Source organism: Homo sapiens, chromosome 7, assembly GCF_000001405.40.
Source record: "Homo sapiens chromosome 7, GRCh38.p14 Primary Assembly".
NCBI classification, from domain to species: Eukaryota; Metazoa; Chordata; class Mammalia; order Primates; family Hominidae; genus Homo; species Homo sapiens.
Genome location: NC_000007.14, coordinates 55,570,493 through 55,597,525, shown reverse-complemented (window position 1 = coordinate 55,597,525; position 27,033 = coordinate 55,570,493). Strand labels below are relative to the sequence as shown.

General features: G+C 48.6%; 1 protein-coding gene and 1 long non-coding RNA gene across 9 annotated transcripts in view, besides 5 other annotated features; one reads left to right on the top strand and one right to left on the bottom strand.

The window, feature by feature from the left end:
- Window positions 1-865: 865 nt before the first annotated feature.
- Window positions 866-24,760, bottom strand: VOPP1-DT (VOPP1 divergent transcript). Its single transcript, NR_187585.1, has 17 exons — window positions 24,209-24,760; window positions 10,483-10,535; window positions 10,311-10,360; window positions 9,592-9,755; window positions 8,629-9,430; window positions 8,106-8,530; window positions 7,368-8,015; window positions 7,062-7,222; window positions 6,819-6,871; window positions 6,545-6,623; window positions 6,057-6,083; window positions 5,789-5,842; window positions 5,577-5,619; window positions 4,827-4,875; window positions 4,403-4,645; window positions 3,630-3,848; window positions 866-2,942 (listed from the first exon to the last, which is right to left on the bottom strand). It is a non-coding gene; the product is annotated as a VOPP1 divergent transcript (long non-coding RNA).
- Window positions 3,647-4,146: an enhancer, noted in NCBI's record as "H3K4me1 hESC enhancer chr7:55661073-55661572 (GRCh37/hg19 assembly coordinates)". NCBI's record gives its function as "activates a minimal SCP1, AML or CMV promoter by ChIP-STARR-seq in primed H9 embryonic stem cells {active_cell/tissue: H9 hESC(primed)}" and the evidence as "EXISTENCE:reporter gene assay evidence [ECO:0000049][PMID:30033119]".
- Window positions 23,092-23,231: an enhancer, noted in NCBI's record as "active region_26041". NCBI's record gives its function as "activates an Ori minimal core promoter by ATAC-STARR-seq in GM12878 lymphoblastoid cells {active_cell/tissue: GM12878}" and the evidence as "EXISTENCE:reporter gene assay evidence [ECO:0000049][PMID:35858748]".
- Window positions 23,562-23,641: an enhancer, noted in NCBI's record as "active region_26040". NCBI's record gives its function as "activates an Ori minimal core promoter by ATAC-STARR-seq in GM12878 lymphoblastoid cells {active_cell/tissue: GM12878}" and the evidence as "EXISTENCE:reporter gene assay evidence [ECO:0000049][PMID:35858748]".
- Window positions 24,791-25,770: a silencer, noted in NCBI's record as "silent region_18190". NCBI's record gives its function as "represses an Ori minimal core promoter by ATAC-STARR-seq in GM12878 lymphoblastoid cells {active_cell/tissue: GM12878}" and the evidence as "EXISTENCE:reporter gene assay evidence [ECO:0000049][PMID:35858748]".
- VOPP1 (VOPP1 WW domain binding protein) overlaps window positions 25,024-27,033 on the top strand; it is a 137,539-nt gene continuing 135,529 nt past the window's right edge. For 6 of the 8 annotated variants that reach the window (XM_011515539.2, NM_001321246.2, NM_001321247.2 and 3 more), the window contains exon 1: window positions 25,024-25,255. In XM_011515539.2, coding sequence (XP_011513841.1) covers window positions 25,202-25,255 — 54 coding nt within the window. In that variant the 5' untranslated portion in view covers window positions 25,024-25,201. Of the gene's footprint in view, window positions 25,256-25,363; window positions 25,502-25,657; window positions 25,818-27,033 lie in introns of those variants that run through there. The other 2 variants (NM_001321249.2, NM_001321250.2) reach the window with 2 other exon arrangements.
- Window positions 25,971-26,030: an enhancer, noted in NCBI's record as "active region_26039". NCBI's record gives its function as "activates an Ori minimal core promoter by ATAC-STARR-seq in GM12878 lymphoblastoid cells {active_cell/tissue: GM12878}" and the evidence as "EXISTENCE:reporter gene assay evidence [ECO:0000049][PMID:35858748]".

Below are 27,033 nucleotides of genomic sequence, written 5' to 3'. Positions count from 1 at the left end.
GGTGTTTCCTAGGAGAACAAGAGACTGTGCTTGTCAGCAGAATTCAGACAGAAGTGGTACCACGGGGCTGGAAGCTCTAGCAGGTATGGCCTGCCTGGCTACAACTGGCAGGGATTGGGTGAAGTTGCCTATCCTGTTGTTTGGGTGTTTCCTGGAGGAACAGGAGGCTGAACCTGTTGGTGAAGTGAAAACAGAAGCAGGACCATTGGGCCAGAGGCTGGTGCTGAACTTTGTCTAGTGATTTGGGGTGGAGCAATCTTACTGCCCTCGGGTACCATGACTGCAGCCTCTGTTGGGGCTATGGCACTGGTGCTGGTCTGTTCCAGGGTCCAAGGCTTCCAGCAGTCCCTAGGGACTTGAGAGTTGCCTCCACAAAACTCTGGGTGGCTCTCTGCATTGGCTTAGAGGTGCAGGGAGTGGGTCAAAGAGATTCTCCTGTTCCAAGGCTTGCACAGGTCCCTGTGAAGACTGTGAATCCCCCAGGGGCTCTCAATCACTTACTCTTTCCCTATGTTTGGGAGCTTCTTCTAGCTCCATGCTGATCACAGATGGGCTGCTCAGCTTCACTCCTCTCTCCTCTCTGTGTCCCCTTGCTGCCTTCATGGATGCTGATGTGGTTTCTTAGGGGATCACATGGCAAGATCAGTGTTCACTAGCCATTTTGTTTCCTCTCCATGACAGCAGTGCACATGATCTGCTTCTAGTCTGCCATTTTGACTTAACCCTGTACCCCCAATTATAAAATTGATCCTGGCACTTAGTCTGCTCTTAGCAAATGTTTACTGAATAAATGAGTTAACCAGTGTCATAGCTTCATGTGGCAACTTCTATTACTGCATAACAAATTAACTTAAAATCATAAGGCTGAAAATAACAATAAATATTTATTATTCACCCAGCTCCTAAGGGTCAAAAATTTGACTTATGTGTGGAATCTAAAAGAGTCAAATGTATAGAACTGGAAAGTAGAAGGGTAGTTACCAGGGGCTGGAGGGAGAAGAAAAGGGGGAGACATTGGTCAAGGGTACAGCATCTCAGTTACGCAAGGTGAATAAGTTCTGGAGACATAGTATACAATAATATGACTGTAGTTAACAATAATATATTGTATACTTGAAATTTTCTAAGAGGATACATCTCATGTGTTCTCACCACACACACACACACACACACACACACACACACACACACACACGAAAATGGTACTTATGTGAAGTAATGAATATGTTAACCTAATTATCACGATTATTTCACAATGTATGTGTATATCAAATCATCAAGTTGTATTCCTTAAATATATACAATCTTAATTGTCAATTATACCTCAATAAAGTTGGTGGCAAAAAGAACTTGGTAAAAAAAAAGTTTTTGGCAAAAAGAACTCAGTGGCTTAACTGAGTGATTCTGGCTCAGGGTCTCTCTTGAGGATGTAATCAAGATGTCAGCCAGGGCTACAGTTATCTGAAGACTTGATTTGGACTGAAGAATCCAATTCTAAGATGGCCCACTCATACGACTTGTAAGTTAATGCCAGCTATTGCTAGGAGATATCAGTTCCTTGCTAGATGGATTGTTCCATGGGACTGTTTGAATGATTTCATGACATTGCATCTAGCTTCCCCTAGGGATATTGATCCAATAGAGAATAAGGCAGAAGTCAAAATTCTTCTTATGACCTAAACTTGCAAGTCAGACTCTGTCATTTCAACAAAATAATACTAATTAAACAGATCAACTCTTTTTTCTTGTGGGAAGGGACTATACAAATGTATTAATAACAGCTGATGAGAATCACTGGCGGCCATCTTGGAGACTGGCAGCCATACCCCTTTGTGGTTTCAAAACATGTCCACAAGTGCTTTGACTAGCCTCTCTTCCAAAGGTGGAGGTTAATTCTCGTTCTTTTGAGTGTGGGCTGGACTTAATGACTAACTTCTAAACAATAGAGTATGGCAGAAGTGACGGTCTGTGACAAAATTATAAAGAGCATTACGGGTTCCTTCATACTCTCTTCTTTGATCTTTTGCACTGGAGAAAGCCAGATGACACATTGGGAGGACATTCAGTCAGCCTATGGAGAGGTCCATGTGGCAAGTAAAAAGACCTGTTGCCAGCAGCCATTCTGAAACTGGGGCTTCCATCCAATTGCCATAAGTAAGCCATCTTTGATATAAATTCTTCAACTCCAAGTCTTCAAGTAACTACAATTCTCACCAACAGATTGACTGCAACCTTATGAGACTCTTGGCAAGAATCACCCAGCTACACTCTCCTGAACTACTTATTCACAGAAGCTGTGAGATAATAACAGTGTATTGTTTTAAGCCACTAAGCTTTAGTGCCATATTTAATACAGGCCTAGAAAAAATATTTCCCTCCACATATATCCAGATACCATTCTGGAGAGGAACTTGGGTATCATCTTGATACCATCTTGGGACAGGAATTTGCTTGGGTCATCACTATAGAGAATAATTTGCTTAAGGAGATAGGTGGAATTAATAAATCAGACTAAAATTACAGGATAAGTTTAAATGTAATCATTCACAACTTCAGTAACTCCCAGTGGGCATGAACTTACAAAGATGACCACTTATAAAGAAGACTGGATGAGAGCAACTCTTAGGATAACCAATCAGGGCATGAAGATAAAGCCTAGAGGTTTCCCCCATCCAATCAGAACACAAAGTCCAGGCCCTCATTGCCGAAACCTCTATATATAATGCATACTGAGGGTGCATTCCACCATTCCAGCCTCTTCTGTGACTGCTCCCGCTGCTGCTCCAAGCCCGACTTAGAGGAGGAGGTGGAGGCTGCAACTTGCGGCACCTGGCCAGGCTCCCTGCAGTTGGTGGTGGCCACCAAGACTGCAGCGTGGTCAACGAGACTGCAGCATGTTCGGAGTGGTAGGAGGCAGCGATGAGCGAGAGCTTCTCCGTGCCCTGCTACAGGAGGAGTCAGAAAGAGGAGGCATCTGTCACAGGCTGGAGGCTAGAGCCTGCAGCCCAGTGGCTCACCTCACTGCAGTTGTTGGTGGTGACAGAGACTGCAGCACGACCAGAGCAGTAGGACAGGGGCCTCAGCCTCCTGGGCTCCCTGGTTCCTCCTGCCTCAGCTAGAGCTGCTGGGACCCCAGGAGCAGCCACCACTATGGCCTCTGCACCCATTTCCTGCACAGTACCCTAACTGGGAGAGGTGCTGGGAGAAGGCAGCCGGGCCTCCTGGTCCCAGGCAGCACAGCAGGGTCCTCCAGGGCCTTGCCACGGGCAACCTCCCATGCTCTTGGGCAATGAGCAAGAGCCACAGGCCTGGTCATGCTCTGAGGACAAAAGAGGGACCCTGAGCACAGCCACTGTCCCTCGTCAGGTCATGTGAGAATTGTTCCAAATCCCTCTTTGGAGAAGGAGGAATGGTCTCTACATGCATGTGCAGTCGGGGAGGACACCCCAGGGCCGGGAAATGCAAGCAAGGGGCTACCAGGACGAGGCCAGGTGTCCCGTGAGGCATCCCTGTGCCATCCCAGGGCTGCGTGCAGATTCCTCCCAGGGAACTCGGGCCCAGTTCTTGGGCGCCACCTGGTGGCCACTTGCTTTTCCTGATTGTGTCGCCCAAGCTGGCCTCCAACTCACACTTCGAGAGATCCTCTTGCCTTGGTCTCCCGAAGCAGGAAGCGGGAGGATTCCAGGCTTCAGCCACTGTGCCTGGGCTGGACCTATGTGTTCTAATTTGTGAATGAGTTTAGGACTTGGGGAGAGTTTCCTCATCTGGTATCTTCCTGTGTCCTAAATGACCCTTGAGTCATGACTATTCTTAGCTGACCCTTGAGTCATGGCTATTCTTAGCTGACCCTGCAGATGGGACAGGAAGGGAGAAAACTTGAGGTCCTGAACAGCCAGGCTCCACTCTTCCCCTTCCTGTGCTACACATGCACACATACTCCACACACACACACATGCACACCCTGCATGCACACACTGCATGCACACACTGCACACACAGGCACAGAAGCAGAGTGTGAGTTCAGAACAGATGGAGCTGTGTCCGTTGTGAAAATGCTGAGGAGCATGGATGCTTGGGGAAGAACCCCTTAACCACGCCCCACCCAGTGGCCCAGGTTAATCCCTGACCCAGCAGAGAAGCCGGCCAGCCCCTCCTCCAGTGTCCATTCTGATTGGCCAGTACATGTAACCAGCCCTGGTGAGAACATGCTCACAAAAACCCAGGAGCAACATGCCCGAGACACAACACACTCATAAACCCATGTGCTCATGCAACACACCACATCCAGGGACAGCACAGACACCAGGCATCTCCCTGTCAGTGCCACCTGTCACCACCCAGCCTCTACCCACATTTCCCAGCGACTACCTCCCAAGGTCCCAGGGTCTTCTACCTCACTTACCTGCTTTCCATGTGGTCCAGGTAGTCCATTCTCCCCAGTGGGACCAGAGGATCCACAGAATGAGAGGAATTGGGGTGGGTGAGTGTTGGCCTCCAGCTAAGGGACCCCTCAGGAGTAGGGCACAGAAAAGAGGGGTAAGGGGCTGAAGGCTGGAGCTCAGTGGGGGTGGCAGGGACATTGGTCACTCACGGGCTGTACTGGCTCACCATCCTTGCCATAGTCACCGTTAACACTGTCCTGGTCCTGCAGGGATGAAGCAAGGCCAGACCCAGCTGGCATCACCCCTAAAACTGCTAAGCCTTGCATTCCCCTGCTTGCCCTGCCATATCTCCAGCTTCCCAACATCTAAGCCCATCAGTTGCACAGAGGCACCCCACAGAAGCCCCAACCTCTTCATCCTTTCCCCTCTGTCAGTAAGACTCACATGAGCCACCTTCTCCTGGGGGGCCAGGGTCTCCAGGAAAACCAAGACCCTAATCCAGAGGGAGAACAAGAGTCAGGGTCACAGCCCCATAAGCCCACCCAACACAGACTCCCACAGGCATATGAGACCCTCTTCCTCCCTACAGGCTCATCTGTTGGCACCTCCCTAGGAAGAAGGTCTCTGCACCCCTATCCCCACCTCGAGCACTTCATGCTGTCTAATGCCTTATGGTATTAGCCACAGGGTATCTCTCACTTTCTCTCTGGACTCCAGATCCCATGCATCCTCCCAGGATACCCCATTCCCAGAGCCTCCCTCCCAGGCATCCCCCCATTCCCAGGCTCCCCACAGTCCAAGATCCTTACTCACAGATACCCATATTCCCAGAAACTTGGCTGCCCTGACTCTCCTTTCCCCCCACACTCCCCATGTGTACCCTGCAGAACAAGTGGAGGGCACAGAGGGTCTTGAAGAACAGGGATGCAGCCCCTGCTTCCAAGACACCTTTAGTCACTCCCTACTGCCCTTGAGGACAATGGGATACACATAGAAAGTCTAGCCTATAAGGGGAGTCCCCTGGTCCCCTTCCGTTCAAGGACAGGGTGGAAAGCCTCACTCCAAGGATGGTTGGGAGCAGAGACTCCTGGCCGCAGAGGAGCTACAACTCAAGGAAGTCACAGGAAAAGAGGGGGGGTGCAGCTGAGAGGGGTGAAGGGAATTCTGAAGCAGGGCCCTGGAGCTGTCACTCACCTGACACCCGGCTCACCCTGGATTCCTGGAGATCCTGACTCTCCTGGCTCCAGGAGCAAAGAGATTGGGGTCAAAAACCTCATTGCCCCCTCACAAAATCCTGGTATTTCTCACATTTTATTCTCTTTTGTCTCCTCAACAAAAAATTGGCAGAAATCCAACTGTCATTCCTCATCCACAAGACTGGTCCCCTTCATCCCTTTCCCAATTACCTTCTCTCCAGGGGGACCCAGGGCCCCAACACCTCCCAGGGGATCTTGTGGACCCTGAAAGAGGAAGAGAAATAGGTGACATCGCTTCAGGAGGTGGGGTTATTGCAGGGGCAGAGGCCCAGATGAGCATCCCAAGGTTATGGCAGTGGGACAGTGGGGGCCTCCCAGGGGAAGGGGCTTCTCAGGGGCGAAGAGTTTATGATCTGAGGAAAGGGACGCAGAGGATCAGACTCATTGCTCTGAAGTGGCAGGGGCTGGGATGACTCACACCAGTGCCACTGGGTCCAGGTAGTCCCTGCAGGGGAACAGATACACCAGAGGTGGGGAAGGGAAGTGAAATGGCACAATGAAGGAGTGTGGAGGGAGGAAGAGCAGTCAGGGCAGGGAGGCAGCAGTGGGGTGGGGGCTGGCCAGGCAGGGGTGACCATTTGGGGTCTGGGGTCAGTAGGGGTCACATTCACCATAGGACCCACATCTCCTGTTTCTCCCTTCTCCCCAGAGGGACCTGGCACACGCTATGCAGGTGCAGAAAGCATGGACCCAGGTGACCACCCACCCAAAGCACAGCCCTAGACTGATGGGTCCCACAGCCCCTCCACTCAGACCCCACATGGCCCCCAGGCTTCTGCCCCCACCAACCCAGTCCTTAAAGCATGTTGCTGGCAGGGTCTGGGACACACATCACCCCATCCTGACACTGCCTCTCAGCCCGTCCCCAGCCGCATCTCACCTATAGATTCATGAATCCTGTTCTACCTTTATTGCCTTTGGCTCCCCACACTCTGGCTCCAAAGTGTCCCTGGGGTCCCTGAGCTCTGGGCTCCCAATCTGCTCCCTGGGGAAGGAGAGAAGCAGGGACAAGGACATAGACATGGGTCATGGGTCAGGCATTCTCTATTCACGAACCCCATACATAGCTGGGTACCAGGCCCAGAGACCCCACTCCCAAACCCAGCCTCAGGGGCAAAGGGGAGTTGAAGGCAGAGCAGAGGCTGCCAGGGCCTTGCGTGGGGGCCGAGGGTTCACTCACCACTGCTACAGGCTGTTCCATGGACCAGTGAGTCCAGGGGGTCCAGGAGGGCCCTGGGGGAGAGACGAGAGTCAGAAACACCAAGGCAGGGAGGAACCAGGAGGGAATGAGGTTAAAGGCCAGGGCGTCAAGGTCATGGACACTTTGATGCCCTTCTTCCTGGGGTCCCCCACCTCATCCTGGAGGAGAAGGCACAGGAGATACCAGAGGGAGGAAATGATAGAGCTCAGGAGTCAAGCCCACCTCAGCCCTCTCATGTGGAGAGAAGATTGGTCGGGTTCTCTGGGGTTCTCCTCTTGGTCTCCATCTTCTCCAGCCACACCTGGAGGCCCAGCAGGACCAGGAAGTCACACAGGACTCTGCACCCTATCACAGCCAGGCAGACAAATGGGGCCCTTTTCACCCTGTGGGGCAGGAAGGAGGAGTCATGGCCTGGAGGTGACCCTCACCCTCAAACACCCACAGGAAACCTTTCATAGCCCATCACCCCTCAGCCCACAGACCCCTCCCCAAGAACCACTCCCAAGGTCCCCACTCTCACTGGGACACCTGTCTCTCCTGCTGATCCAGGGGGTTCCTGAGGGCCTGGGCACCCTGGCGGGGGGCAATGGGTCCCTTGATCCTGCTGCACCTCACTCCCTAGGGGGGAACCCTGAAAGTTGAGATGAGTGAGATCCCCAGGGAGGAAGACCCAAGCCCACTCATACCAGGGCCCTCAGAGCACAATTCCCAGGAGAAGAGCCCCAAATCAGCTGCATTCTGGCTGACTCTAGATTCCCTCTGCCCAGTCCCACAGCACCTGCGTAGATCTGGATGCCACCTCCACCCTGCCTCAACACCCCCTTTCCTAGTTCCCTCCTCCCACTCCCCAGGAACCCCAGGCTCCCTGCAGGGTAAGGGGGCCAACTGGACCTCATTCCTCTTCAAGCTGGGTCCACACTCTGAAGCAGAGATTTGGGGAAGGTGGAGCTTCACAGAAAAGAGAAGGGTGAGGGCTGGCGAGAGGAGATAGGTTCAGAGAGATGGGAGTGGGGAGTGGCATGGAGCAGGGTCAGGGTCAGGGAGGGGTTCAGGTCACTTGGTCCTTGGTCCAGGCAGGGCTCTGGGAGTCACACTCACAGCAGTGCCTAGGAGGCCTCTCTCTCCTGGGAAGCCCCTCAGACCAGGAACATCCTTCCCTTGAACCCCATGGACACCCTAAAAGAAAAGGAGAGGTGAGGAGCGACAGCCATCCGTGCTGCCAAATTAAAAAGAGAGATTTCTGAGCCCCCTCAAGTCCCCAGCTACCTGTTCCAGACATGCGAGCCAGAGGCAGGGGTGTGTGACTGAGAGAAGAGAGCCAGACAGACTTAACTCCAGGGTCTGGGAGCCGTTCTCTCCTGGGAACAGACCTAGCTGAGGTCCCACCACATATGGGGGGCCACGGGGGCTGCTCTCCCCTTGGAAACCCTGAGAGGAAAAGGGGGGAGTGCAGTGGGTGCTGTAGGGTAGATGCCTGGGCTCCAGAAGAGGAACAAGGTCACATCAAGCCTCGGCCCGTGGGTGTGGACAGCATTAGGGCAGGCTCTGTTCTGCTCAGAAAATGTCTCTGTGGGCCTCCCAGACAGCTTTGGCATTTGAGGGGCCTCCTGAGAATTGGTGGCCAGGGGTCTCCCTCACCACCTTTCCTCTCTGGCCTGAGTGTCCCGGCAGCTTGTCATTCCCAGGGTGCCCTGGAAGGAGTCCAGATGTCAGGTGAACTCTGGGCTGGAAGGAGGCAGGGAAGGACTCAGAGAACCAGGGGTGGGTCAGAGCTCGGGTGACAACTCACCAGGGGCTCTTTGGGGCCAGGAAATCCATTGGGACCCTGAGTTCAGGGAGACCCTAGAGACAGAGGTAGACAGAGTCAGGAGAATGGGGCAGGTGCTGGGCAGGGGAACTCAGCTTCCTCCCTGGGGTGAGGAAGGAGCCAGCACACCCAGTCTCCTTCTTCCTAAGAGTGAATTTTCTCCAACTCTAGTGCTGGGATCTGACATCCCTGTGCCTGCAGCTCCGTCAAGTCCTTCAAGGTTGCTGTGATCCAGTTGCTGCCCATCTGCCACCCTCAGCTCCATCTGCCCCAGCACCCACTCTTGCTTCACCAGGACTAGTTTCCCCACACGTCTCCGGCCCTTTGCCCATGCGGTGCAGCACCCAGCTCCCCTGTATGCCTCCTGCTGCTCCAGGGCTCATCCAGCCCAGGCAGCTGTGGAGCAGGGGGTTGGGAGCAGTGATTCTGCAGCTCAACCACTGTGGCTCAGTTCCTGCCCTGCCATTTGATGACCCTGTGATGACTTGGCCTGCTTGTGCCTCTGCAAAGCCTCACCTGCAAAATAGGACTGTCCACACCCACCTCACAGGATGGAGAGGAGGTCCCGCACAGCGCCTGCACGTGGCAAGTGCAGGAGATGTCAGCTCTGGAGACCACAGATCTCGGTGCTGTTGGTGTCTCCCTTCTAGGGGCTGCCACTGCCAGTTTGGACGCATGTTCACTCTGCTTGGACCTGCGGCCACTCTGTGCCTGTCTCCATCCAACTCTTCATGACAGGGGCTTTTCCTTGACTTCTTCTATACCCACCTCAATCCATTGTCAGCTAGGAGGTGCCATATACAGAGAGAGGAGCATAATGAATGCATAGCCATCTTTAATTGACTGGCTGACAGTAGCTGCAGGCACCCCCACACCCACCCTGACCTCATGTGCCCTCATCCCTAGAGTGCCCAGGCACAGATCCCTCTCCTATCACCTCCTCACCTGTGAATCCAGGGGGCCCAGGGTCTCCAGTTGGTCCAGTGTGTCCCTTTGGCACCCTGGGAGCACTCTGATGCTGCTGCTCCCTGGGGAGCACAGAGGAAGAAGGCACTCAAGTCACACCCTTTCTCTGGGGGATCATGGAGGCCATCACCACCCGATGTTCCCTGTGGAGGAAGCACAGTCAGGGAGGGAGAGGGTGGGAGAGGTGAGCGTTGGGGTCTGGGGATGAGGTCTGAGCCCAGAGGAGAAGCAGTCACCAGAGAGGCTGAGTGGGGCTGGTAGATCCCAGGAGCTATTGCGGGACAGGGAACGCTGAAGGGTATGAATAGTGTCGTCATCCATGGCCAGCGTGTTGCAGACCATGGGGTTACAGTCCTGCAGGGATCAGGCCCCCAAGGATGCACAGCACTGGGGAGCCCAGGGCCTCCAGGGAATGAACTGGTGCTTGGGGGCTCCAGAGTGCATCATTAGGACACGGAGTAGGGGCCAGCGTGAGGTCTTCACTCAACCTGATATCCTTCACACATGTCACCTTTGAATCCAAGACAGTCGTTCTCCCTTGAGAAAGACGGAGGTGAGAGGACCCCACAGATGAGAGAGGGCTGGGGGTTCTAATGTAGGATTCTGAGAACATGGCTGGAAGGGTGGGCTCAGGAGCTAGAGGGTAGCATGGGGCAGGCAGGAGTGAGGTGCTGGGAAGCTGGGGGCACGGTGCTCACCTTTGCACCCTCATGGCCCTTCAGACTCCGAATTCCATCTCTACCCTGGACTTAGAGGTGAACAGAGGTAGAGTGGTGAGGGGATAGAGGTGGGTTAAAAAGACCAAACTCTTGAGACCCCATCTTGCTCCCCTGAACACATTCCTTTATCCCCAGCCAGGAGGTCGGTTACCTTAACCCTCGAGGTCCTGGGTATCCTAGAGGACCCTGAGGTTCAGATGGACCCTGGAAGAAAGAGGCATTTATAAATGGGTCTTAGAGCACTCACTGTGGGGGCTCCGGGGTGGGAGTAATGGAAGTAAAAACGCTGGAGTCTGGGTAGGGCTACAGGGCATCACAGGAGTGTAGAATATTGTCACAGCCATGTGAATGATGAGACAAGAAAATCCCAAGAACTTTCAGGCTCCAGGGTCTGGGTGGAGACTTTCTCGGGGTGAAGGGCATGGCAGATTTTGATTGTCCTTTCCAGTGTGTTGAACGGAAGAGATGTAAAACCTACCCAAATGATGAAGCAAAGTGAAGCATTAACAAATCTAGATGTTTGGTTTTTTCTGATTGAAAAACCATCAGTATTACAGTGAATTTATAGAGGACTTCATGAGTGTGGAAAGCTTTCCCGGCTTACTGCTCTCAAGGGAACTTTTCTATCTGTGTGAGAAGGATGGATGGGCTTTGGAGCTTCATTTCCTGCTAGTTGACAGGTTTGGGAAGGTTACTTCTTGCTCTGAATAGTAGTGACTAATGTGTGAAAAAGTCATAATAGTATCTATTTTCCTGAGTTGCTGAATGGTTCTATCATATTCAAAGGGTTCTTATAGTATGTGACCTACTACTGAAAATTCCCTCCCTTGCCACTAGTATTTAATAAATTATGTTGTCTTAATAAAAAATAACATTAAAAGCATTAAGTAGAGCTGTGATTTGTTTAAATTTAGTGGAAGAAAAATTTAAGACTCTTGTTTTTTAATTGGCTTGGCTAGACTTGCAATGGAGTGTCAAAGCTACCACCACTGTTTCAATTATTCATATCTTAGAAGCATCATTAACTAAATCATTATCTCAGAACCTCCCCATGCCTCACTCAATCTTTGTATTTCTTCATTCAACAATTCTTACACCAGATTTATCAGGAAAGAAAATATTTTTCTCTATCCTTTTAGGTTCATTGTGGGGGGGGGGCTGTAGATTAAAATGACAAAAGACAAGTTAATGTAAGAATTCAGCTCTCTAATTGTATAAAGTTTGAGGCTTATACAGCATACCTAACGAGTGGAGGAAAGGGAGGGGGAAGAAATTTATTCTAAGACAGGAGCAAATAGGTTTCTTTCTTTCTTTTTTTTTTTGAGATGGAGTCTTGCTTTGTCGCCCAGGCTGGAGTTGCAGTGGTGTGATCTCGGCCCACTGCAACCTTCACCTCCTGGGTTCAAGTGATTCTCCTGCCTCAGCCTCCAAAGTACCTGGGATTACAGGCACGTGCCACCACGCCCGGCTAATTTTTGTATTTTTTAGTAGAGAAGGGGTTTCATCATGTTGGCCAGGCTGGCCTTGAACTCCTGACCTCAAATGACCTGCCCACCTCGGCCTCCCAAATTGCTGGGATTATAGGTGTGAGCCACCAGACCTGGCCGCAAATAGATTTCTTAAGGGAAGAAGAATAAGTGGATTTTTAGGGGAACAAAAAGAAGATACAAAATTTCATAATGATATATGTTTCTGCAAGTGCAGTGTTCTTTCCCTCTTCTTCATGGCCATGAAACTATACCAGAGAGGGGATTTATAACAGGTGTATTCTTGCTTTTCTTTCTGGGAGTAGACCTGCCAAAAGAGAATTTATGGCAGCCTCATTTCTCAGCAGTTGCTGCTTTTAATCAGATAAGGGAAGCTCTGAGGCTTCTTTCTGCATCTCTTGAAATCGGAAATAATGCCTGGCTGGTTCCCTCCACTGTCCCATCCCCCACCCCAGCCTCCATACACACACACACACACACACACACACACACACACACACACACACACACTTTTAAAACGTTATTTAAGATGATGATCCTCACAAATCCTGTCCAGACAGCCATTACTTATTTAAAAAATTTTTTAGGCCAGGTGCAGTGGCTCACGCCTTTAATCCCAGCACTTTGGGAGGCTGAGGTGGGTGGATTGCCCAAGGTCAGGAGTTTGACACCAGCCTGGCCAACATGGTGAAACCCCGTCTCTACTAAAAATACAAAAAATTAGCTGGACGTGGTGGTGGTTGCCTGTAATCCCAGCTACTCAGGAGGCTGAGGCAGAAGAATTGCTTGAACCCAGGAGGCAGAGGTTGCAGTGAGCAGAAATCGTGCCGCTGCACTCCAGCCAGGTGACTGAGTGAAACTCCATTTCAGAAAAAAAAAAAAAAATATATATATATATATGTATATATATATATAGAGAGAGAGAGAGAGAGACAGATATTTTTTAAAGTAGAGATGGGCCATGTGCGGTGGTTCATGCCTGTAATCCAAACACTTTGGGAGGCTGAGGCGGGTGGATCACCTGAGGTCAGGAGTTCGAGAACAGCCTGGCCAACATGGGAAAACCCTGTCTCTACTAGAAACACAAAAAATTAGCTGGTCATGGTGGCATGCACCTGTAATCCTAGTTACTTGGGAGGCTGAGGCAGCAGAATTGCTTGAACCTGGGAGGCGGAGGTTGCAGGGAGCAGAAGCCGTGCCATTGAACTCCAGCCTGGGGCCTAAGCAACAAGAGCAAAATTCCGTCTCAAAAAAAAAAAAAGGAAAAATTACAGATGGGGTTTTGTCCTGTGGTCCAAGGCTGCTCTCAAACTCCTGAGCTCAAGTGATCCACCCACCTCAGCCTCCCAAAGTGCTGGGATTACAGACATGAACCACTGTGCCCAGCTATTACTTATTTTTACAAGCTCTTCTAAGCTTGTAACTTTGTTGATCTGAATGGGTCAGGCCTTTCTTGCAATATACCTGGCAGGATTCCTGAAATCTGATTCCTGTGAACACTTTGGGCAACATCCTTCAGGTGCATTGTGCTGGATATCTCACTCAAGGTTTTAGTAATTAAAGAAAAAAAAATCAAAACAGCCATGTGTCAGCTTCCCATACTCATCATCAGAATCAGTCTTGAGATACAGCCAGAATCTAACTACTTCTCTCCACTTCTACTACCATATAAAGGAAAAAAAAATCAGGACCCCCAAACTTCTTATGAGAAAGGGAAGGTTAAGCCTGGAAGCTGAGTCATGCAACACCCCCTTCCAAAGGAATAGGTGTGACTAGCTTTATGCATCAGCCAGGTCCTCACGGAAAGGTGAGGTGCCTGCACAGGGCTGCCCCCACAAACCATTCATGAGCAAACCATTTGCCTGTCTTCCACTAACAAGAATGTGCCAATTGTAACAACTGTTAGGTATGCAGTCTAAGTCTACCTCCTAAAACTAAAGTCTGTTGGATTCCACAGTGATCATGTTGATTATAAGCTTATCTTCCCAGGTGCAGAACAAAGTTAAGATGAGATCAGTAGTTCCTCCATCTACTCAGAGACATCTGCATAACCAACTCTTCCTTTACTCTCTTTTTCTCTTCATGAGTTCACCTTATCTTATGTAATGTAGAGTTATTGGGCACCAACTAACGTCTCACAGGAATGTAACCATACATTCACCTTACCACCTAGGTGCCTTTCTCCCGACACACCGTTCCCACTTTAAGGAAATGTGTAACTATAAAACCTCCTGAATACCTTTTTGGAAAAACAGCCACAGACGTGTCTATGGCTTATGCTTTTCCCAGATATGCCCTAAGGCTAGGGCTGAATAAACCTTGATGATTAAGACTTTTGCCTCAGTCACTCATTTTGATTGTCACCTATTACAAGTGATATTTAAAAAACTGAAGTCGAAGATGGCCAAATAGGAACAGCTCCAGTCTGCAGCTCCCAGAGTGAGCGATGCAGAAGACAGGTGATTTCTGCATTTCCAACTGAGGTACCAGGTTCATCTCACTGGGGCTTGTCAGACAGTGGGTGCAGCCCATGGAGTGGAACAGAGTGGGGCATTGTCTCACCCAGGAAGCGCAAGAGGTCAGGGATTTCCCTTTCCTAGCAAAGGGAAGCCAAGACAGATGGTACCTGGAAAATTGGGTCACTCCCACCCTAATATTGTGCTTTTCCAAAGGCCTTAGCAAATGGCACACCAGGAGATTATATACTGCGCATGGCTCAGAGGGTCCCACACCCACAGAGCCTCGCTCACTACTAGCACAGCAGTCTGAGATCGAACTGCAAGGTGGCAGTGAGGCTGCAGGAGGGGCATCCGCCATTGCTGAGGCTTGAGTAGGTAAATAAAGCGTCCGGGAAGCTCGAACTGGGTGGAGCACACCGCAGCTCAAGGAGGCCTGCCTGCCTCTGTAGACTTCACCTCTGGGGGCAGGGCATAGTTGAACAAAGGGCAGCAGAAACTTCTGCAGACTTAAACGTCCCTGTCTGACAGCTTTGAAGAGAGTAGTGGTTCTCCCAGCATGGAGTTTGAGATCTGAGAATGGACAGACTGCCTCCTCAAATGGGTCCCTGACCCCCGAGTAGCCTAACTGGGAGATACCTCCCAGTAGGGGCCGACTGACACCTCATACAGCCAGGTGTCCCTCAGAGACAAAGCTTCCAGAGGAAGGATCAGGCAGCAACATTTGCCATTCTGCAATATTTACTGTTCTGCAGCCTCTGCTGTTGATACCCAGGCAAACAGGGTCTGGAGTGGAACTCCAGCAAACTGCAACAGACCTGCAGCTGAGGGTCCTGACTGTTAGAAGGAAAACTAACAAACAGAAAGGACATCCACACAAAACCCCATCTGTACGTCACCATCACCAAAGACCAAAGTAGATAAAACCACAAAGATGGGGAGAAACCAGAGCAGAAAAGCTGAAAATTCTAAAAATCAGAGAGCCTCTCCTGCTCCAAAGGAATGCAGCTCCTCGCCAGCAACGGAACAAAGCTGGACGGAGAATGACTTAGACAAGTTGTGAGAAGAAGGCTTCAGGTGATCAGTAATAACAAATTTCTCCAAGCTAAAGGACGATGTTCGAACCGATTGCAAAGAAGCTCAAAACCTTGAAAAAAGATTAGACGAATGGCTAATTAGAATAAACAGTGTAGAGAAGTCCTTAAATGACCTGATGGAGCTGAAAACCATGGCACGAGAACTATGTGACGCATGCACAAGCTTCAGTAGCCGATTTGATCAACTGGAAGAAAGGGTATCAGTGATTGAAGATCAAATGAATGAAATGAGAAGAGAAGTTTAGAGAAGAGAGAGTAAAAAGAAACGAATAAAGCCTCCAAGAAATATGGGACTATGTGAAAAGACCAAATTTACGTCTGATTGGTGTACCTGAAGGTGACGGGGAGAATGGAACCAAGTTGGAAAACACTCTGCAGGATATTATCCAGAAGAATTTCCCCAACCTAGCGAGGCAGGCCAATCTTCAAATTCAGGAAATACAGAGAACACCACAGAGATACTCCTTGAGAAGAGCAACCCCAAGACACATAATTGTCAGATTCACCAAAGTTGAAATGAAGGAAAAAATATTAAGGGCAGCCAGAGAGAAAGGTCAGGTTACCCACAAAGGAAAGCCCATCAGACTAACAGAGGATCTCTCTGCAGAAACCCTCTAATCCAGAAGAGAGTGGGGGCCAATATTCAACATTCTTAAAGAAAAGAATTTTCAACCCAGAATTTCATATCCAGCCAAACTAAGTTTCAGAAGTGAAGGAGAAATAAAATCCTTTACAGACAAACAAATGCTGAGAGATTTTGTCACTACCAGGCCTGCCTTACAAGAGCTCCTGAAGGAAGCACTAAACATAGAAAGGAACAACTGGTACCAGCCACTGCAAAAACATGCCAAATTATAAAGACCATCAGTGCTAGGAAGAAACTGCATCAACTAATGAGCAAAATAACCAGCTAACATCATAATGACAGGATCGAATTCACACATAACAATATTAACTTTAAATGTATATGGGCTAAATGCTCCAATTAAAACACACAGACTGGCAAATTGGATAAAGAGTCAAGACCCATCAGTGTTCTGTATTCAGGAGACCCATCTCACGTGCAGAGACACACATAGGCTCAAAATAAAGGGATGGAGGAAGATCTACCAAGCAAATGGAAAACAAAAAAAAGCAGGGGTTGCCATCCTAGGCATCCTAGGTTTAAAGTATGGTTTAAAACATACTTTAAACCAACAAAGATCAAAAGAGACAAAGAAGGCCATTACATAATGGTAAAGGGATCAATTCAACAAGAAGAGCTAACTATCCTAAATATATATGCACCCAATACAGGAGAACCCAGATTCATAAAGCAAGTCCTTAGAGACCTACAAAGAGACTTAGATTCCCACACAATAATAATGGGAGACTTTAACACCCCACTGTCACCATTAGACAGATCAACAAGACAGAAAGTTAAAAAGGATATCCAGGAATTGAACTCAGCTCTGCACCAAGCAGACCTAATAGACATCTACAGAACTCTGCACCCCAAATCAACAGAATATACATTCTTCTCAGCACCACATCACACTTATTCCAAAATTGACCACATAGTTGGAAGTAAAGCACTCCTCAGCAAATGTAAAAGAACAGAAATTATAACAAACTGTCTCTCAGACCACAGTACAATCAAACTAGAACTCAGGATTAAGAAACTCACTCAAAACTGCTCAACTACATGGAAACTGAACAACCTGCTCCTGAATGACTACTGGGTACATAATGAAATGAAGGCAGAAATAAAGATGTTATTTGAAACCAATGAGAAAAAAGATACAACATACCAGAATCTCTGAGACACATTTAAACAGTGTGTAGAGGGAAATTTTTAGCACTAACTGCCAAAAAAGAAAGCAGGAAAGATCTAAAATTGACACCCTAACATCACAATTAAAAGAACTAGAGAAGCAAGAGGAAACACATTCAAAAGCTAGCAGAAGGCAAGAAATAACTAAGATCAGAGCAGAACTGAAGGAGATAGAGACACAAAAAACCCTTCAAAAAATCAATGAATCCAAGAGCTGGTTTTTTTAAAAGATCAACAAAATTGATAGACCACTAGCAAGACTAATAAAGAAGAAAAGAGAGAAGAATCAAATATATGTGATAAAAAATGATAAAGGCAGTATCACCACCGATCCCACAGAAATACAAACTACCATCAGAGAATACTATAAACACCTCTATGCAAATAAACTAGAAAATCTAGAATAAATGGATAAATTCCTGGACACATACACCCTCCCAAGACTAAACCCAAGAAGAAGTTGAATCCCTGAATAGACCAATAACAGATTCTGAAATTGAGGCATAATTAATAGCCTACCAACCAAAAAAAGTCCAGGACCAGATGGATTCACAGCCGAATTCTACCAGAGGTACAAGGAGGAGCTGGTACCATTCCTTCTGAAACTATTCCAATCAATAGAAAAAGAGGGAATCCTCCCTAATTCATTTTATGAGGCCAGCATCATCCTGATACCAAAGCCTGGCAGAGACACAACAGAAAAAGAGAATTTTAGACCAATATCCCTGATGAACATCGATGCAAAAATCCTCAATAAAATACTGGCAAACAGAATCCAGCAGCACATCAAAAAGCTTATCCACCACAGTCAAGTTGGCTTCATCCCTGGGATGCAAGGCTGGTTCAACATACACAAATCAATAAATGTAATCCATCATATAAACAGAACCAAAGACAAAAACCACATGATTATCTCAATAGATGCAGAAAAGGCCTTTGACAAAATTCAACAGCCCTTCATGCTAAAAACTCAATAAACTAGGTATTGATGGGACGTATCTCAAAATAATAAGCTCTATTTATGACAAACCCACAGCCAATATCATACTGAATGGACAAAAACTGGAAGCATTCCCTTTGAAAACTGGCACAAGACAGGGATGCCCTCTCTCACCACTCCTATTCAACATAGTATTGGAAGTTCTGGCCAGGGCAATCAGGCAAGAGAAAGAAATAAAGGGTATTCAATTAGGAAAAGAAGAAGTCAAATTGTCCCTGTTTGCAGATGACATGATTGTATATTTAGAAAACCCCATCGTCTCAGCCCAAAATCTCCTTAAGTTGATAAGCAACTTCAGCAAAGTCTCAGGATACAATCAATGTGCAAAAATAACAAGCATTCCTATACACCAATAACAGACAAACAGAGAGCCAAATCATGAGTGAACTCCCATTCACAATTGCTTCAGAGAATAAAATACCTAGGAATCCAATTTACAAGGGATGTGAAGGACCTCTTCAAGGAGAACTACAAACCACTGCTCAATGAAATAAAAGAGGATACAAACAAATGGAAGAACATTCCATGCTCATGGATAGGAAGAATCAATATCGTGAAAATGGCCATACTACCCAAGGTAATTTATAAGTTCAATGACATCCCTGTCAAGCTACCAATGACTCTTCACAGAATTGGAAAAAACTACTTTAAAGTTCATATGGAACCAAAAAAGAGCCCACATTGCCAAGACAATCTTAAGCCAAAAGAACAAAGCTGGAGGCATCACGCTACCTGACTTCAAACTATACTACAAGGCTACAGTAATCAAAACAGCTTGATACTAGTACCAAAACAGAGATATAGACCAATGGAACAGAACAGAGCCCTCGGAAATAATACCACACATCTACAACCATCTGATCTTTGACAAACCTGACAAAAACAAGAAATGGGGAAAGGATTCCCTATTTAATAAATGGTGCTGGGAAAACTGGCTAGCCATATGTAGAAAGCTGAAACTGGATCCCTTCCTTACACCTTATACAAAAATTAATTCAAGATGGATTAAAGACTTAAACGTAAGACCTAAAACCATAAAAACCCTAGAAGAAAAGCTAAGCAATACCATTCAGGCCACAGGCATGGGCAAGGACTTAATGACTAAAACACCAAAAACAATGGCAACAAAAGCCGAAATTGACAAATGGGATCTAATTAAACTAAAGAGCTTCTGCACAGCAAAAGAAACTACCATCAGGGTGAACAGTCAACCTACAGAATGGGAGAGAATTTTTACAATCTACCCATCTGACAAAGGGCTAATATCCAGAATCTACAAAGGACTTAAACAAATTTACAAGAAAAAATCAAACAACCCCATCAAAAAGTGGGCAAAGGATATGAACAGACACTTCTCAAAAGAAGACATTTATGCAGTCAACAGACACATGAAAAAATGCTCGTCATCACTGGCCATCAGAGAAATGCAAATCAGAACCACAATGAGATACCATCTCACACCAGTTAGAATGGCGATCATTAAAAAGTCAGGAAACAACAGGTGCTTGAGAGGATGTGGAGAAATAGGAACACTTTTACACTGTTGGTGGGAGTGTAAACTAGTTAAACCATTGTGGAAGACAGTGTGGCGATTCCTCAAGGATCTAGAACTAGAAAAACCATTTCACCCAGCCATCCCATTACTGGGCATATACCCAAAGGATTATAAATCATGCTGCTATAAAGACACATGCACACGTATGTTTACTGCAGCACTATTCACAATAGCAAAGACTTGCAACCAACCCAAATGTCCATCAATGATAGACTGGATTAAGAAAATGTGGCACATATACACCATGGAATACTATGCAGCCATAAAAAAGGATGAGTTCATGTCCTTTTTAGGGACATGGATGAAGCTGGAAACCATCATTCTCAGCAAACTATCGCAAGGACAGAAAACCAAATGTTCTCACTCACAGGTGGAAATTGAACAATGAGAACACTTGGACACAGGGTGGGGAACATCACACATTGGGGCCTGTCGTGGGGTGGGGGGAGCGGGGAGGGATAGCATTAGGAGATATATGTAATGTAAATGACGATTTAATGGGCACAGCACACCAACGTGGCACATGTATACATATGTAACAAACCTGCACATTGTGTATATGTACCCTAGAACTTAAAGTATGATAATAATAAATAAAACAAAAACAAAAACTGAAGTCAAATTAAATTTAAATGACTTTAATTGAGCAATGAACGATTCATGAATCAGGCGGCCCTCTGAGCCAGGGTAGGCCCAGAGACTCCAGCGCAGCCACATGGTGGAAGATTTATGGATAGAAAAAGGAAAGTCATCTACAGAAAACAGAAGTGAGGCACAGAAACTGCTGGATTGGTTGCAACTCAGCGTTTGCCTTATTTGAACACAGTTTGAACACTTGGCTACATTTGATTGGCCAAAACTTGTTGATTGGCACAAGTGTAGGCTATGGTTTGTTTCCACCTCCACTTGTTATAGTTCACCATGAACAGAAAAATCTTTAGGTTGAACTTAAACATGTATGAACTTTAGGCTAAACTTGATTTAACACAACAAGTCACCTCATCCCTTGCCTGGAATCTAAATGGAGAAATAGCCACTTAAACAACTATGATACAGAGGGCTGAATGCAGACACCAGGGAGTGTGAGTGTAAACCAAAAATAAAATTCTAAGACTCCAACTAACTGAATGGATCCCTCCTCTCAGCCAAGGGAATCCCAAAGGAAACCTAAAAAACTAGTTCAGGCAATGATGGGACAGGAGGTGGGACAAGCCTCATCTTAACCCAGACACGACTTTCTGTTGTTTCCAGGTCTTTAGATAATAACTTAACTTCTTCAACCAATTGGCAAACAGAAAATCTTTGAAAATATCTATGTCCTGGAAGGCCCCTTAATCCCCAGTTCAAGTTTTCCTGCCTTTCCAGACCAAACCAATGTACACCTTACGTGTATTGATTGATGTCTGCCTGTAACTTCTGTTCTCCTAAAATGTATAAAATCAAGTTGCAACCCAACTACCTTAGGCACATGTTCTCGAACCTCTTGAGACTGACTTGGGCTTTGGCCACTCATATTTACCTCAGAATAAATCTCTTCAAATATTTTACAAAGGTTGACTCTTTTTTGTTGGCACAAGGACCACATTGACACAAGAATAAAACAGGGTGATCACAGGAGAATAAAAAATTCCAGGGAGCAGTTTCACATGACTAGAGGCTGTGGGCTGTTAAGACCCCGAAAAACGAAGGTGTGGACCAAGCTGGCTAAGACTGACTGGATCCAACATAGCACTGGGCTTGACCCAGGTTTCACCTAGGACTTCATTATACACTCATTAACATACTAAATCACACACTTACCAGTGCCATAACAGTTCCAAGAACACCCACATTTGGTGTACAAATGGGTTGCATCACAGTTCCAAGAACTCTCCACCTTTTCCCAGAAATTTTCATGAATATTCCACCTCTTGATTAAAGAAACCCATAAAGGTAGTAGCAGCCCCAAACTCCATTTGCACAACTCTCTCTTGAGTATGCCAGCAATCGCTTTCTTGAGTGCTTTTTGCTTTGCAATAAATCATACTTTCACTATTTTCGACTCATCCTTGAATTCCTTCTTGTGATGGTGTCAAGAGGCTGGACACCGGCGGAGGTCAAGATCCCCTTGGCATTTGGGGGACCTCCCCTAGCCCACTGGTATCAACATCACATCCATCTCCTCACTGCTCTTCCAGCCTCCACCCTTCCCTCCACCCTTCCCAACCCTGCCCTAGTCTGTTTTCTACACAGCACTAGGGCTGATGCTTTGAAGGCTTAAGCCAGATTACATTACTTTTCAGCTCAAAATCCTCAAATGATATCCCATTTCTTTCAGAACTAAATCCAAGATCCTTATAATGGACTACAAATCTGAGCGTCCATTTCTTCTTTGAATTCAGATTCTACCCCTGCTAAGGGAGCACAGAGCTCCAGCCTCACCGATCCTGTCAGGAAATTCCTCAGGCCCGTTTTTCCTGCCTCAAAGCTTTGATTAATAGTCTTGTTTTGCCCCCTTTCCTACCTTTGGGTCTCTGCTCCTGGCAATTTGCCATAGGGGCCTGGCCTGGCCCTCCTATTTTTTTTTTTTTTTGAGACGGAGTTTAGCTCTTGTTGCCCAGGCTGGGGTGCAATGGTGCGATCTCGGCTCACCAAAACCTCTGCCTCCCGGGTTCAAACGATTCTCCTGCCTCAGCCTCCCGAGTAGCTGGAATTACAGACATATGCACTACCATGCCCGGCTAATTTTGTATTTTTAGTAGAGACAGGGTTTCTCCATGTTGGTCAGGCTGGTCTCGACCTCCCGACCTCAGGTGATCTGCCCTCCTCGGCCTCCCAAAGTACTGGGATTACAGGCATGAGCCACTGTGTCCGGCCGACCCTTGTATTTTTAATTACACTCAGTCTTACCTTCCAAATGTTTCACTCAATTTATTTTTCTTTCTGGCACTTATATACATATTTATTTATTTATTCTATTCTCTGTTACCCCTCACTAGATTGAAATCTGCATGACAGCAGCCACTCTGCCTTTTATGCCACTGCTTTGTCTATTTTACTCAGGGCTGTATCCGAAATGTCCAGAATAGTGCCTGGCCCAAAACAGATGCAGATAAATATTTATTGAATAAATGAAATACATGTTCATCATTCATGTAGACTCCACAGTTTTGCAGGGAAGCTACAGGTCAAGCCCAGTCTCTCTCTTATTTGTTTCCTTTGGCAACACACATGCTCCAGGCTCTGGGTCCTTACTCCTCAGGGGCAGCTGAGCAGACCAGGACATGTCCAGTCCTGCCCCAAACAACTCATCAAGAACTTTCTTCTAACCCCAAGTCCAACTTTAACAGTTGTTCTAGTGAATGCAGCTTTATCTTGTAACTTTTTCAGTGGTATCTGATGCCCTTATAATTTGTGCTCAAGGAAACAGCCTGGCTGGTTAGCCTACACCCCATCCTCCAACCATGCCAAGCAACCACCACATCATTCAGGACCAAACAGAGAGCACACAGGAGAGGTATCAGACTGAGGTGAAAGCAGAGTCACAGTTCTAATTTTATTCTTGGAAAAAAACTTGCACAAATTACAGGAAGTCGAGCTCAGCAAAACAATCTTCCAGGCAGAGAGAGATGCAGAAGGGAGGTTATGTCAGACACTAGTAGGTTGCTCACAATGCAACAGAACCACAATTTGCACACGAATACATCGTGGACACAAGTCAAAGTTCCATTTTAACCCATTAATGATGGAAACAGTGGGATGACAAAGGTGCTTCAAAGGAGAATGCAGGCAAGTGACCTACACACACAGTCAAAAGCGGGGAGAAAAGAGAAAGGAAACGCTGGGAATGAAGTGGCTCAATCAGATAGGAAGCTGGTTATGATTCTCACCTTAAGCAGGGGTCATTTGTCTTATACACACACACACACACACACACACACACGTTTTAATGGAGACAGGTTCTTGCTGTGTTGCCCAGGTTGGGGTTGGTGAACTCCTGGGCTCAAGCAATTCTCACACCTCAGCTTCCCAGACTGCTGGGATGATAGGCATGAGCCACCCTGCCTGGCCCATTTGCATTTTTACAGGACGAGATCACTTCTATCCCCACTGGAAAAACATTTGTCTTGCTAACACACAATAAGCTTTCAGCTTAGTTTTCTACAAGTTAACTTTTCCATTAAAAAGAGTTGTAAAATGTCCTCATTGTAAATAGTAAAACTACTAGAGTTCAATGGCGTTTGGCAGGCTTGTCAGATAGGTGCCTTAGCATGACTGAAGGCCATAGGCATTGTTTCTGTCTTACTTGTAAGTTCTGGCTCTGACAGGTATAGTCAGGTGGTGCATGCTCTATATTAATCAAATTAGGCTTTGAAAGCTGGGAAAGAGTTGGGGACTTGCCTCGGGTGACATCTGTTCGTGTGACCCCCTCCTTCCACCTCCTGTACTGCGCAGCTCATGTCCTTTATGACCCTCTGTGATGCACCCACCTCCTGGTCTCCGCACTCAGCATTCTGCATCAGGTGGTTTAAGCGACTCTCCCTCCCTCTAGGCTACGGGAGCAGTTTTCTTGTCCTCCTCTCAGCCTCCAACTCAGGATCTGGTACATCTTACAAGTTTAATAGTGTTTGTTGAATAACCTCATGAAGAAGGTGGGATCTGAGCTGTGTTGTGAAAAAATAGTGTCTGTGAGGACATGGAGGTGGGGTCAGCGGAGGCGAGGACAGCGCGAGCTCCGCACAGTTTTCTGCTGCGGGAGGGTGGCCTGCAAGGCGGGGCCGGTTGCGGTCAAGTTCAAGTAGGGTCAGAGCAGGAGAACACTGGCATAAAAAATAGCCACATCCAAGGAAGCAGTGAGGTGTGGGGACCATCTATTTCGGTGGGCCTTCCCACCCCCAGGCCGGCCTTCCCATCACGCGTGGGTGTGGGGGCACTGCCCCCGCTGCGCGCAGGAACAGCGGGGAGAGCCAGGAGCGGAGCGGCTTCGGGATGCCAGACTGAGCAGTGGGTTCGTCTGCGGCCACCTCTCAGGGAACAAGCTTCCCCCCGCGGAGACTCTGCTTCTTTTAAAAGCCTTCCTGGGTTTAGTCTAGGGCGACAGGACGACCTCCCTTGGGAAGGGAGAGCCTGCCAGTCCCCCTCCCATTCGCCAGGCGGTGCAGCCCCTCCTCCCGCCCGGGGCGCGCGCACCTCAGCGTCGCGGGCCTAGCGCCCAGCAGCCGCGCCCCAGGCCGGGCCTCGGGTTCCGGGAGCCCGCAGGCGCGCGCCCGGCCGGGCGTGTCGGGAGCGCGCGGCGGCCGGGGGCGGAGCGCAGCCAGGGCTGCGCGGCGCGCCCCGGCTCCCGCCCGCTCCCAGCCGGGCCCCCCAGCGGTCGGCGGGACGGCTCCCGGCTGCAGTCTGCCCGCCCGCCCCGCGCGGGGGCCGAGTCGCGAAGCGCGCCTGCGACCCGGCGTCCGGGCGCGCTGGAGAGGACGCGAGGAGCCATGAGGCGCCAGCCTGCGAAGGTGGCGGCGCTGCTGCTCGGGCTGCTCTTGGAGGTAGGGGCCGGGGACCGGGTGCTGCCGGAGGCGCGGCGCCCACCATGCTGGCGGCTGGGGGCGCGCAGTTCCGAGGCGCCCCAGAGGACCTTGCCTGGGAGCGCAGACGGTGGAGCGACGGGGAGCCACAGCCCTGCGCGCCTCCCGGAGCTGGGAGGTGCGGGACCCTGGTGACGGGGAGGCTCCCGCCCCGGTCCGCGCCTTCCGTCGTTCCTTCGGTTTTCGCACCCCGCCCCCACCCTGCGGGTGAGCGCGTTTCCCGCGCCGACCGCCTCCGTTAGCTCGGGGTGACCTTTGTGCACCGTCCGCCCCCTCTCCCCGCCGCAGAGGGCCGAGGATCGGATGGACCCGGGGTTGGGCGGGGGTGGTCCTCGGGCGCGGCGCAGGCGCGGAGAGCCCGGGGCGCCGGGCAGTTTGGGGTTAGGAAAGGATGGGTGCCGAGCCGGGGTGAGGGGAGCGGGCGGAGGGGACTGTGGGGAAGTGTCGCGGGAGTGCCGGGAGTTGTGGAGGTGAGCAGCGGGAGGAGGCGTTCCCGCGTGTGAAAATGAAGTGCAGCCTTTAGGTGCGGGGAGGAAATTCTGCGGAGAGCCTGGCTGGGTGGGGGTGCGGAGCCGAAGCCGGCGGGGAACTTGTTGAGCGGCTTCCGGGTGCGAGCGCCCGTGACCGCATCCCTGGCGGGGACCGCGGCTGCTCCTGGCTGTGAAATTGCATCCTCGGATGGGGCCACATACTTCTCACTAAAGCAGGTTCCTTAAAATGCGAACTAGAGGAATTCTGGGGTGTCCAGTCTGAATCAGGGCTTGTTCAACTTTCTCCTTAGTTTCATTATTCTGAAGGAAATTTGCGTTAAATTAATGAAGTCAAAAGAAATAGGTAATGAATCCCATGCCTCTGTTTTAGGAAGTTGTGAAACTATCTTCCTTAATAGTTAGTGATTGGTGCTGGAAATTACTAGTTTGTCTTCGCCCTTTATTAAAAAGTAATTATTACAAAATGTTGGAGGAAAAGTGTTTCCTGAAAGGAAGGCTGGTGGACAAATTTCTCCTTGCTCCAGGCTCTGCCATAGCCGAGACTTCCTGTTTCTGTTCGGAAATATCCCCGTAGCTTGGTATTTAATGTTTTTGTGGAGTGCCTCTGCTTGCATTCTTTCCATTTATTCAGAATTTTAGAACCTTAGGAATCACATTCTCTGAGTGACTCACCATAGAGAACAAAGAAGTGAATCAGAGACCAGTAATCGCATGAAAACAGATGTGCTTGTACCTTAATGTGTGTACCTATACTTGCAATCTTTATTTTTTATTTTTATTTATTTATTTCTTTAGTTTTGAGATGGAGTCTCGTTCTGTGGCCCAGGCTTGAGTGCTGTGGCGCGATCTTGGCTCACTGCAATCTCCGCCTCCTGGGTTCAAGCTATTCTCCTGCTTCAGCCTCCCCAGTAGCGGGGACTACAGGCGCCCACCACTATGCCCGGCTAATTTTTGCATTTTTAGTAGAGTCGGGGTTTCGTCATGTTGGTCAGGCTGGTCTCGAACTCCTGACCTCAGGTGATCCGCCCGCCTCGGCCTCCCAAAGTGCTAGGATTACAAGGTGAGCCACCGCGCCCGGCCCTGCAATCTTTTTTAATCGGCACTTGATGAAATTATTTAGCGTTTCTTTCATTCTAGTTTGTGCCACCCATGTCTCCCAAGCCTTCTGTCTGAGTGGTTCTGTGCCCTATATGTAGCCTAGACGGCCTCAGTGACTCCATTCTTTCCAAAATAGCTGTTTCGTTGCAT